The 12644-nt window shown below is 45.3% G+C and overlaps 1 protein-coding gene across 9 annotated transcripts in view, besides 2 other annotated features; it reads left to right on the top strand.

The window, feature by feature from the left end:
• The window catches only part of AFAP1 (actin filament associated protein 1), a 181149-nt gene that overhangs the window by 112367 nt on the left and 56138 nt on the right, over nt 1–12644 (top strand). For all 9 annotated transcript variants that reach the window (NM_001371091.1, XM_006713909.4, XM_047416061.1 and 6 more), the window contains 2 exons: nt 8324–8419; nt 11396–11477. In NM_001371091.1, the coding sequence (NP_001358020.1) occupies nt 8324–8419; nt 11396–11477 (178 nt within the window). The remainder of the gene's footprint in view (nt 1–8323; nt 8420–11395; nt 11478–12644) is intronic.
• Nucleotides 514–1013: an enhancer, noted in NCBI's record as "NANOG-H3K4me1 hESC enhancer chr4:7828209-7828708 (GRCh37/hg19 assembly coordinates)". NCBI's record gives its function as "activates a minimal SCP1, AML or CMV promoter by ChIP-STARR-seq in naive H9 embryonic stem cells {active_cell/tissue: H9 hESC(naive)}" and the evidence as "EXISTENCE:reporter gene assay evidence [ECO:0000049][PMID:30033119]".
• Nucleotides 1014–1515: an enhancer, noted in NCBI's record as "NANOG-H3K4me1 hESC enhancer chr4:7827707-7828208 (GRCh37/hg19 assembly coordinates)". NCBI's record gives its function as "activates a minimal SCP1, AML or CMV promoter by ChIP-STARR-seq in naive H9 embryonic stem cells {active_cell/tissue: H9 hESC(naive)}" and the evidence as "EXISTENCE:reporter gene assay evidence [ECO:0000049][PMID:30033119]".

Raw genomic sequence — 12644 nt, 5'->3', positions numbered from 1 at the left:
GGTTCAAGCGATTCTCCTGCCTCAGCCTCCCAAGTAGCTGGGATTACAGGCGTGTGCCACCACCTGCAGCTAATTTTGTATTTTTAGTAGAGACGGGGTTTCTCTATGTTGGTCAGGCTGGTCTCGAACTCCTGACCTCAGGTGATCCGCCTGCCTCAGCCTCCCAAAGTGCTGGGATGACAGGCATGAGCCACCGTGCCCGGCCTCTCCTCTCCTTTTGAAGTTGCATCTGTAGGTATGTTGGGTCCTCTGATACTTCCCGTAGATTGTGGATACTCCGTTGTGGTTTCCTTCACTCCTTCCGTGCCTCAGCTTGGGTGGACGCTTCTATTTACCTGTACTCGGGCTTACGGGTCCTCTTCTCTCCTGTGGGCTCTTCAGCCCAGCTGATGACGTCATCTTTTCTGAGATCCATTTTTCACTTCTGGCATTTCTTTCTTTCTTTTTTAAATCGTTTCCATCTCTGCTGAAGTTCTCCATCTCTTTATGTCGCCTGCCTTTTCATGAGCTATTTCAGCATGTTTTATTTTAGTTATTTTAACATCTTTGGTCATTCCAATATTGGGCCCAGCTCTTGGGCTGCCTCTGTTGAATTTGTCTCAGGAGTTTCCATGACATTCCATGCGTTTTGTGTAGAAGAACAGCAGAGACTGACAAGAGTCCTATTTCCCTGGAGAAGGGTGTGCCCGCCTCCTACCCTGCTCCCCACTGGCAGCCTGTATCTGGCTCTCCTGCAGGTGGGGAGGGGCTGCACGTTGTTGCAGCTTCACCTTGCCTCACTCTCACTCCCCTACTGCCTTCCAAACCATTGACGTGTTGGATCAGGAGTTTCCTGTCGTTGGCATGGCATGGCCCAGGACCCAAGACCCGTGGTGAAAATCTGAAGATCTCTTTTGTGTGCTACAGACAAGTGCCAGCTTTCTAAACCAGCTTGATTTTGTTTTTGTTTTTGGCCTACCGGCCAGCTTTTTCACTTGCTAAGTGGTCTCTTTTCTCTGCAGTCTTGCCTCTGGCTTTTTGTGCCTTGGGCGAAATCCCTCTGTGCTGTGCTCTGTCTCCAGCTGTGGATGCTCTGGGAAGCCTGGGCCTCCTGGGAGGGGCGTCTCTCTGCTTCCCTGCCTTCCCCTGTAGGGCAACTGCCTTGCACCTGGGAGAAGGGCTGTGCCTCTGGGGGCGGCGGGGTGGGGTGGGGACTCTCCAAACTCTGTTTCCTTGCCTCCAGCTTCTGTTCTGTACCTGCATACCCAGTAAAGACCTTGGAGAGAGTTGGCAGGTGACTGTGGACTCATTCTGTCACCGGGGCACCTTGAATTGTCAACAGGTATGCCAGCCCACACAGTGAGAACTTGGCTGGCTTCTTCCCTGTCCCAAATATGGTGGGTTCCCCCTTCACCCACCATTCTACCAGTTAGAAGGGGGCCTGTGGGTCACTTTTTTCCTGCAAAGGAGCCTTCACTTTTAGGATTTAGTTCATGTAGGTTTTTTGCATCTTCATTGCTCAGAACGGTTCAGACGTACTAGGACTTTTTTTTTTTTTTTTAAGCATATCCACTTGTTTTATTTGTCAGGGTGGGAGTGATGGTCTTGCATGCTCTTCTGTGTGGTAACTGGAGTAAAAATGCCCTGTGCCTGCTGCCTTTTCTTCTTCACAGTCTTGCCAGAAGTTTATCAATTTTATTAGTTCTCTCAAAAAATATCTTTCTGGGCTATGTTAATTTTTTTTCCTGTAGTGTGATTATTTTCTACTTTATGTAGTTCTTTTTCTTTATTATTTTGCTTCTACTTTTTTTTAGCTTAATTTGCTGTAATTATCGCAACTTCCTGAAGCGTACACTTAGATAATTGAGTTTTTAGCCTTTTTTCCTTATGCATGCATTGAAGGCTACATGTCTCATTCTACACACAGTGTTAACGGCACCCTCTACGTTTTGATATTTTGTACTTTTATTATTCAGCTCAAAATATTTTCTAATTTCTGTCTTGATTTCTTCTTTGACTAATGGTTTATTTGGGAATATAGTGCTTACTTTCCAAATAGTTGATGTCTTTAAAATTATCTGTTTTTAATTTGAAAGAAGTCAGTGTTGTTATAGCTCTTTATTTCACCTTGTAAAGGCCACGTCTTGGTGACTGAGGTAGATTTTTTTTAAAAACTAAAGAACTGCCGCATAAAAGGAACAACCCCTGGTGAGCCAGAAGGTAGTGCGCTAGAGTGATGGAAAGGTGGGTGAGAGTCGGGAAGCATAGGGTACATTCCTGGAATACCATTAACTCGTTATGATATTTTGGGGCAATAAACCCTTTCCCGTTTATCTATCAAGTGGAAATAATCATCAGAATTTTCAAAGGGGTAGAATGAAATCATGATATAAATGCATTCTTAGAACTATAATAAACAGTGAAAATATGAATGATAATATTTGTATTACCCCTTAGGGTTAACAAGTCTCTAACATGAATTGTTTTATAATACAAATGCCAAGTCTTTTATTAATATAAACTGCTGTTATCCCATATTGTTCAGTACTAATGAACCAGACTTTCAGTCTTTTGAAACACAGCTTTGGAAAAGATCTGTATAAATTTATATTCATAGATTGCATAGTGGTCAAATCAGAGATTTCAGGGTATCCATCACCCAAATAATGTACACTGTACCCTTCACCAGTTCCTCACCATCCTTCCTCCCATTCCCTCAGTGCCCATTAACCAATTTCTCGCCATCCCCCTTCCTCCCGTTCCCTCAGCCTTCCCGGCCTCCATTGCTGTCATTCTCCACTCTCCATTCACGTGTAGGCATTATTTAGCACCCACATGAGTGAGAACATGTGAGATTTGACTTTCTGTGAAACGTAATTTTAATGTAACCATTAAAAATCTTTAATGAAGTTGCACACGCCCTTTGTCAAGTCTAAAAAAACCATGAGAACTGTGTTTAACCAGTGCTTGACTTTGCACATACTCGTGCAAGAATTACTGCCAAATTTGTTTCTGCTCTCTGTCTCCAATTTCCATTACTAGTGGTTCTTGACAGAATTAACTGACTGTCTCTGTGTGTGTGTGTGTGTGTACACAAATGCTGAAAACATGAGCCTTTGTGTAGGGGTCAAACAGAAGACAAGAGCCAATATTCCCAGAAACGGAGTGGTCAGATTTCCTTAAAAAATGTGCAGAGATTGTGTTTCTGGAGTCGAGGGCTCAAGTTAAAAGCAAACAAAATACCACAAAATATATAACAATTTGTTTTTTTGGAGGATTTGCGATTCTGAATTTGGATCCAGTTCTCTTAAATACACATTGAACCTCATAGGACATGGCTCTTCAAGTAGAAATGTATTAATAGAAGCCTCATTTATAGCTGTTCAAAGAATTGGAGTGATCAGTGCTTTACTTATTACTTCTGACTAAACTCTGCAGGTGCAGCTTGGCAATCAACAGAGATCCAAAGTAGAAAGACAGTTTCATGAAAATAACCTGACCTCTCCGACTGGTTGAAAAACTTTGTGGGAATAAAGACTGGTTTATGCTGATGCATGTTTTTAGCAATGCCTTTCTTCGTACCTTGGACATAGTTATTATGCCTGGGGGAAGAGAGTCCCACGAAGCTGGGATGCCATGAGCCACCCCCTTGCTGGGCACCAGGTTGATCCTGGGCCTGCTCTGGGTTGCTGAATGCGATCCTCCCAAGCACTGTTGGAGATGCTGTTATTTTCCTGGGGCAATGTGAGTTCTAGCTGGGAGAGAAGTTAATGATTAGAGAGCAAACGTGGCTGGCTTGTCTGTGTTCCCCATTCTAAGCATTCAGATTACATGGTTGGGTGTACCAGGAAAGCTTCTTGGAAAGGCGATTACGTGAGGTGCTTTGATGCTGGGCAGCGTCGTCTGTCTGCTAGAAAGTCGGAGCTGATGGGAACAGGAGAGGGATGGGGACACTCCAGGGACCAGGCGAGTCTGCCAGGAGCTTAGCCAGGGTGTGTGTGTTAGGGTAGGGCTGAGTGGGGAAGTGCGTATGTGCCAGATGGCTTTTATCTACTTTCCTTTAAAAAACACACAAAACAACACTTTTTCCTCTTGAGGATTTTAGAAACCAGTGCCGAGGACTGGGGAAGCTTGGTCATGAGGCTCTTCTTATTTTAGTGATGGCCTACGTTTCTTTCCTTCTGTTTTTCTTTCCTTCTTTTTTTTCTTCATAGAAATCTTAATTCCAGTTTCTTTCCTCATTCCCTCATTGTTTTCCCTTTAATCAAACTTTTGGTTGCTGTTTCGAAGTAGACATTGGGAACAGTGACAAAAGCAAGGCCCAGCCCCTCCCATGAACACGAGCACAACTTAGTAGGAGACACAGGCCTCTGTGGGCATGTGTGGAGGGGGAGCCCTGCCTTATGGACCACACAGAAGGGCCAGAGCAGGCTTCCTGAAGATGGGAGACCTCAGCTGAATCTTGAAAGATGAGTTCTATTTAGCTATATAAAAAAAAGCACAGCTCCTCCAGAAGACACCATTCACACAGCCAGCCCCTCCACCCTACCCAAGAGGCTGCTGGGAATAATTGGAGTAGTGCTGCCAAAGAAGTTCCCCTGTTGAAAAAAAAAAAGAAAGAGGGGCCGGGCGCAGTGGCTCACGCCTGTAATCCCAGCACTTTGGGAGGCCGATGCGGGCGGATCACAAGGTCCGGAGTTCAAGACCATCCTGGCTAACACGGTGAAACCCCGTCTCTACTAAAAATACAAAAAAAAAAAAAAATTAGCCGGGCGCAGTGGCGGGCGCCTATAGTCCCAGCTACTCAGGAGGCTGAGGCAGGAGAATGGCATGAACCCAGGAGGCGGAGCTTGCAGTGAGCCGAGATCGTGCCACTGCACTCCAGCCTGGGCGACAGAGCGAGACTCTGTCTCAAAAAAAAAAAAAAAAGAAAAAAGAAAAAGAAAGAAGACAACCGTTTTTTTTGAATAAAAACATTTGCCAGAGATCATGGGTTTTGGCAGGTTATGTTTTATGGGGTACAGCCTTTTAGTGTAAAATGAAGAGCATGTCAGGTGCGTTTGTATAATGGAAGCACATTTTCATTTATTTAACACTATTAAATATAATCGTGGGGAGAGTTCAGGTTTCCTTAATGCCTGTTAGGGGAGAAATACTGGGCTGGATACTTCACATTTGTTTTAACGTTTAGTTTTCACAATGACCCCCTGAGGTATTATTTTGTGCGTGTTATTGAGGAAGGAAGCAAGGCTCTGAGAATTGCTCAGCTTCACATAAACAGCAAGTGGTCCACCTGGGGTTTAAACCCAGGTGGGTTTGACGTAGAAGCTCAGGAGTTTTCCATTGCGTGAACATGCCTTCCCTAGTGAAAAGAAAGTCTTGTCCTCAAATCAAATAAAAATTTGCCTTGTCATTTGGAGACTTAATAAACACCTTAGGGTAGGTGAGGGAGTAAAGACCAAAAAAGCAATTAGCATGAAAGCGAGAGAAACAAGAGAGATCAGACACACAGATCACTGCATTGAGGTTCAGGTTTGCTCATGCTTCCACACCTCGGCATTAGCAAAGAGGAGATATGACAGCGAGCTCTCTGGGTTTCTTCTTTCATTTTCTTTCTCTCTTTTGTAGTCTCAACTGTGGACATCACTCTGTTGTTTTTTCATAAAACAGCTGAGGAGCAAAATGGCTGGAAACACTATCCTGGTCTCTTGTCAGGCCTTGGATTTAATCCCAGCACCAGCACAAGCTGAGGGAATTTGGATCTGTCTGTGGAGGCCCAATTGCAAAATTACTACACACATATCTGGGACTTTGGTGTTTCTTTTTTGCCCAGAAGAAGCTTGAGTTTAACTGAAATTGCAGCTTAGTCCTAAAAAGAATAGAAGACATTTTGAAAATTTTGCCTGCTAACTTTTCAGTTTTAAGAATGTAAGTTTTGCAAGTGCTGGAACCTTGTCTGTCTTATTTGCTGCACGTCCCCCGTGATCACAGTGGGCCTGGTTGCTGATGAGCTCAGTAGGGGTTGGAGAAACATGTGGTGACTGCATGTAGGGGGCGGCTGGGAAAGCCCTCGTGCACGGAATCCTGTCCTGCAGGCTCACCATCCCTGCATCTGGAAGTCTAGTCCAGAATCATTTTCTGAGCTCTTATCATAGGTCATCAAAATGCTGACAGTAATGACGGTGTTGCTTCCATGGTTTGAATGTACACGTGCCACATGCTGGCTTAGACTTCTTCCATAGCGGATCTCACTGTCTCAGTTTAACCATAGTCCTGCAAGACAGGTAATCTTCACACTTATTCCCTCGCTGGGGAGGAAACTGAAGCTCTGAGAGATTAAATACTTTCCCCCAAGGCCACACAGCTGGTAACAGATATATGTATATATATATTTTTGGAGATGGAGTTTCACTCTTGTCGCCCAGGCTGGAGTGCAGTGGTGCGATCTCGGCTCACCGCAACCTCTGCCTCCTGGGTTCAAGAGATTCTTCTGCCTCAGCCTCCTGAGTTGCTGGGATTACAGGCGTGTACCACCACACCCGGCTAATTTTGTATTTTTAGTAGAGATGGGGCTTCTCCATGTTGGTCAGGCTGGTATTGAGCTCCCGACCTCTGGTGATCCGCCCACCTCAGCCTCCCAAAGCATTGGGATTACAGGTGTGAGCCACTGCGCCTGGCCTGGTAACAGATAGTCTTACTGAGAAAGTGGACTCTGTCAGACAGGATGTGCTAGCCTCTCTGCCTCCTCCCTCTTCCCTCCACATCCTCACTCTGCCTTTCATTAAAATGGAACCATCCTTCAGCAGGAGAAGGAACACTTTGGAAACGCCTTCCTTTGCTCATCTCCTCCTCCCCCACTCCTAGTCTCTCCGCTTCCCTTAGGGAGTCACGGCTGTCTCTCTCTCTCTCGGCTCATCTCCCTCCGTGGAGCTCTCTTCTCCCTCTCCTTGGAGACTGTGCTCTCCTGGTTTTCTGCCTGCTTTCCCGTGCCTTCCAGCTCAGCATCTTTTACCAGCTTCTCTCCTTTAACTCTACTCCTTGACGCCAACGGGCTCCAGGTCCTTCTCCCTGATCTCTGTTCTTCTCTGTCTTGCCATCTTCCCTGGTAAACTCATCCAGACCAAGGCTGTGAGCATCATCCTTTTGCCAGTGGCTCCCAGTTTATTTCTAGCACTGACTAGAAGTTTGCTGTTGACTTCAAACTGGCTTCTCTCCACCCAGCCCATTTCTCTGTCCAGTCTTCCTCTGAGTAAATAGCACCACCCAGTTGCTAAGAATCCAGGAGTCACCTTGGAGTCAGTTCTTTCCCTCAAGTCCCATGTCCAATCCAGCTGGGCCTGGCGATTCTCCCTCGGGTACCTCCTGACTCCCTGTCTGTCCTTCTGTCTTCAGTGGGGTCACTCCAGCCTCTGCTGCCACCTGCACTGCTACAGCAATGTCCTCTCATGGATTTCCCTATGCTTTTTCGTTGTTGTTGTCCCTGTATAATTATTTCTTCCCACAGCAACTAGAGTGTTTTCTACAGCCTTTTAACAATCAAGTGCTGGTTATGCTTTAGGCCCTGTCTTGGGGCATTTAACCTTCAGAAGGTAGGCACTGTTGCACCTGCACTTTTCAGATGAGGAAGCTGAAGCACAGGGCAGTTAATTGATTTGTCCAAGGCTAAAGCCAGGATTAAACCCAGGCACTAGGTCCTGAGCCAATGCTCTTGAATCCAGTCCCTCCTCTCCTTGAAATGCTCCTAGGGTCTGTCTTCTCCTGGGCCTGAAGTCTCCTACTGGCCTCCTGCCTCATCTCCTACCACGTTCTCCCTCTCCCGTCCTGCCAGTTTGCACTCCGGGTTATTCCCAACTCTTCACATCCACCGCAGGGCTTTTTCACCAGCTGTTCCTGCTGCCCAGAGCCCTTTCCCGCCAGTTGTTCGCATGGCTGGACCCTTCAGCATCATTGCATAAGGCCCCCTGGTCTCTTGATCTAAAGTAGCCACCCACTATCTTTTGTTCTTTGTGGCACTTACTGCGGTCTCGTGTTGCTGTCATTCTTTTGGTGACCCTTATTGTTCATGGCGATAAATAAATTACATGGAATGAAACTCCATGCCAGCAGGAAACGTAGTTGCATGTTCCATGCCCTATGTTAGTACCAGCGTTGATAGACTTTGGGTGAATGAATGCATGGGTGAGTGAACAAATGAGTACCTGGCACGCTGGAACTCAGAGCCAGGTGCTTTGAGCCCATGAATTTCCCTACCACGCCATGTGCCTCTGTCTGTACAACTCACAGTTCAAGCCTTTAAGTATCTCTGCCTTTGGGCATACTCACAAAGTGTCTGTGCTTTTTATAGGTGATCAAAGAAGCCTACAGTGGTTGTAGTGGCCCCGTGGATTCAGAGTGTCCTCCTCCACCAAGCTCCCCGGTGCACAAGGCAGAACTGGAGAAGGTAAGGGCGCTGCTCTTGCTGGGTGGGGACGGTGACCTTGCAGTGGATTGGGGTCTCTTTCAAAGTTTGATAACAATCTCTGAGAATTTCAGCGCTTCCAGTTAAAAAAGAAAAAGTGCAGTCGTGCTTCCCATCTTTTTAACTGCCTGCTTTGCGCTAAGCTTGAATTAGTCATTTTACAGACTGTGTAGTTAGTGTTGTTACTCCCAGCTACAGATGAAGCAATGGATTTAAATGTGTGAGGGCCTTGTTCAAGGTCACATAGCTATTAAATGGCAGAGCTGAAGTCTGAAGGCAAGCCTGTCTACTTCCGGAATACAGCAGGCGTTTCATAAATGTACCTTCCCAAAGGTCTCTTCCCAGCAGACCAGGATGTGTCTCTGTCTCCCTTTGCTTTGCACTCTTGTTGCTTGTTGGAAGGCAGAGGGGCACAGCAGTGGGCGGGGATGGCCTGTCATCTGTACACCCCTTTTTGCCAGAAATGTATGGAGCCCATCACTGTGACGCCGCAGGCCCTGCTCTGCATGCACTTTGCTTGTCTAAATCCAACTGATATTGTTTCCTTGGAGACCCCTGGCTTCCTGCCATGAAACCTTCTGTTGGCAGCTTGTGTCCCTGGGACTTTCTGAGCCCTCCCTCTCTAACCTCCTGCCATTGAAGAGACAGATCCCTTTTTGCCTGTCCTCATATAAGTCAGGATTCTCCAGAGGAACAGAATTAATGGGATGTATGTATGTAGAAGCAGATTTCTTAGAAGGCATTGGTTCACATGATTATGGAGCCTGCAAGTCTGAAACCTGCAGTGTGGGCCGCAGGCGGAGACCCAGGAGAGCCGATGGTGCAGGTGAAGTGTGAAGGCGTCTGCAGGAATTTAGGGAGATTTCACTGGCTCAGGGAGGACAGTGTTTTTCTTCCACTGAGGCCCTGAAATGATTGGAGGAGGCCCACCCACATTACAGAGGGCAGGCTGCTTACTCACAGCTCCCTAATTTAAATGTTAATCTCATCCCCAGATGCCCCCCACATTGACACGTGAAATTAAACATCACAGTCCTCATCCTCATACCGTAATGGAACAGGCTGTTTTTCTCCTTGACTACAAAACTAATCTCTGCTCACTTTAGAAAATTCAGAAAGCTCATAGAAACATAAATGGGATGAAAAAAGTCACTCATTACAACAGCACATAGAGGATGCAGCTCGTCTTAACACTACTGATATATTAACCACTCTTTCCTGAGTTCAAGGTTTTTTTTTAATGGTTTGGATAAGCTTATGCATAAAGTTTCTTATACTGCTTTTTTTTTTTTACTTAACCTTTATATTATTAGCAAATTTCCAGGTTTTTAACAACTCTTAAGCCACAAACATTTTTACATTTTCATTAGCTTAATGTCAAATTTGTATGACTCCATTATCACTTATGTAACTGCCCCCCCCATTAGTTGTTTTGTCCTTTTGTTTTGTCTTTTTGTTTGTTTTCTGAGATGGAGTTTTGCCCTTGTTGCCCAGGCTGGAGTGCAATGGCACCATCTTGGCTCACTGCAGCCTCCACCTCCTGAGTTCAAGTCATTCTCCTGTCTCAGCCTCCTGAGTAACTGGGATTCCACCAAGCCTGGCTAATTTTTGTATTTTTAGTGGAGACGGGGGTTTCACCATGTTGGTCAGGCTGGTCTCGAACTCCTGACCTCGTGATACATCTGCCTTGGCCTCCCAAAGTGCTGGGATTACAGGTGTGAGCCACCGTACCTGTCCTGTTTTGTCCTTTTTTGGCCATCTAAAATAAAATAGTACTTGACATCTTTTGCATAATTTTTGCTGATTCTCTGCCTATTACCTGAGAATAGATTTCTGGAAGCTGAATTACTAGACCAAAGGATAGACCTCTTTTTCTTTTTTAAGATCTCGATTCATGTTGAAAATCAAATTGCTTTCCCAAAAGGTTGATGCAATTTTATTTCCCACCATACTGCATCCAAGTTCCTCATCCACGCACTCACACCAGAATTGGCAATTCTGCTTTACTTATGTTGGTTTCTAAGGCAGTACCGTGAGCACCTGGCTGGACCTGTTGCCCTGGATTCCCCCAGCTGTTCCTGGTGTGAGAGCCAGGGCGGTGCCAGCTCTAGGTCATTGTATCCCTGGAACTCAGCTTCCCACTAAGTGGCACTGGTTTCTTCACTGCAGCTCTTAAGGGATTGCCCCTCGAATTCCGAGTTGAACACACATGTTCCTTTGTGCCTGGGAACTGCTCACATATCTCATCTGTGTCCCAGTCTCCAAGGCCCTCGTGGAAGGCACAGGCTCTGAGGACGGTGTTTGGAGGCCACTCCCTCCGCTATGACCCCACAGGTTCTTGGGTGGCAATGGAAGGGGTCTAGCTGTAAACACTCTACCTCATTCAGATACTGACGTGGAATCCTAATTACTCATTAAATCCAGACGTTAGGACTGAGATAGTGACAGTCCCCCATCCCCCTCCAAGGGTTTTGATAGCAACCTTGCCCTCACTCTGTGTACATTCTGAGTGTATTGTTACAAGCAGATACTTGACACTCACCCAATTAATTATTGGTGAATGACAGGAAGAAATTAAATGGACTATGGAATATTTACTTCTGCGAGGATAATATGGCTTGGTGAGGGAAATATTTTTTGTAATCATAATATTTTTTTCAAAATCATTTACAAGAAGTGATTTGAATGAAATAGGCATGAGACAGTATATATATAGGTTAGTATAATTATAGCCTCAGTGAGGTTTTTCTTTTTTTTTCCCCCTCTGGATGTTTTTAAAGCGGTTGTGGCCACCTAACCAGCCAGTCTTTGTTATAGTTAAGCTCTAACCACTTCTGGATTGCTATGAATTTGGCCTGTGTTTTCTTTCACTTTTGAGATAACTTTTGGTTGATCCATCACACATCACTGGGTCCAAGTGACCACTGTAAGAATAACTTAATCTTTTTCTCCTTACAGAAACTGTCTTCAGAGAGACCCAGCTCAGATGGGGAGGGTGTTGTGGAAAATGGAATTACCACATGTAATGGAAAGGAGCAAGGTGAGTTCTGCTTGTGCCAAAAACATATATACACTAAAAAAAAAAACAAAAACAAAAATCTACAGCCAGGTTTGTAAAGTCTGATTGTACGAAAAATGTCCTGGGTGATTCAGATGTGTAGATATCGTCATCATGGCAGAGGATACTGATGGGAGTGCCGGAAAACCCTTTGGTTAACATCAACCCTGCAGGTCTTCTTTTTCCATCCTGCCAGACCTTGGCCGAGGTTGCCATCTGTTGTCTTTTTCTGCCCTGCATATGTTTTGAACTTATGACTCACAGCTGGTTATTTCTTCACTCGATCTGTCACTGAGACAAATTTGCATTGGTGAGCAGCCGGCATGTTGCTTAGGGACCTGGTGTCCAGTGAAAAGCACTTTGGATAATGAGGCAAGAAACCCACTTTCCCATTCAAGCTCTGCCTTTGCTGAGCCCCATGATCTTGAGCAGGTATTCCCTCTTGATGAGCCTCAGTTTCCCCATCTTTAAAATGAGGAGGCCAGACCTGCCGATTTCTGAGGTTCTTAAAAGTGATTTTCTGAAAATGTCTTTATTTTGCCTTCATTTGAAACATTTTTAAAAATGTACATTATATAAAAATATACATAATATAAAATATACCATATTAACCATGTCTCAGTGTACAGTTCAGTGCATTAAGTACATTTATATTGTACTGTCATCACCGCCATCAGTCTCCAGAACTCTTTTAATGTTGCAAGAGCGAAGCTCTGTCCCTTTTAAACACTGACTCCCCATTCCCTCCTCCCCCAGCCCCTGGCACCCGATTTTGCTTCCTGTCTCATGAATCTGACTCCTCTAGGGACCTCATTGAAGTGGAGTCCTACAGGCCGTGTCCTTCTGTGAGTGCTTATTCCACTTAGTTCCATGTGCTTAAGGTTCATCTGTGGTGTGGCCTGTGTCAGAATTTCTTTCCTTTTTAAGGCTGAATAATATTCCATTGGATAGATGGACCACATTTTGTTTTCCCATTTATCTGTCGATGAACACTTGGGTGGTTCCCACCTTCGGGCTAGTGTGAAAGATGCTGCCGTGAGCATGGATGTGCAAATAAGCCTGTCTTACTTTTTCAGGCCAGCTTTCTGGAGACAGAAATTAAATGCCATAAAATTCACCCTGTTTGCCATACTGTTGGTGAGTTTTGAC

This window comes from Homo sapiens, chromosome 4, assembly GCF_000001405.40.
Source record: "Homo sapiens chromosome 4, GRCh38.p14 Primary Assembly".
Classification (NCBI taxonomy): domain Eukaryota; kingdom Metazoa; phylum Chordata; class Mammalia; order Primates; family Hominidae; genus Homo; species Homo sapiens.
Note: the sequence above shows the minus strand (reverse complement) of the source record. Positions and strands in the feature narration are given on the sequence as shown.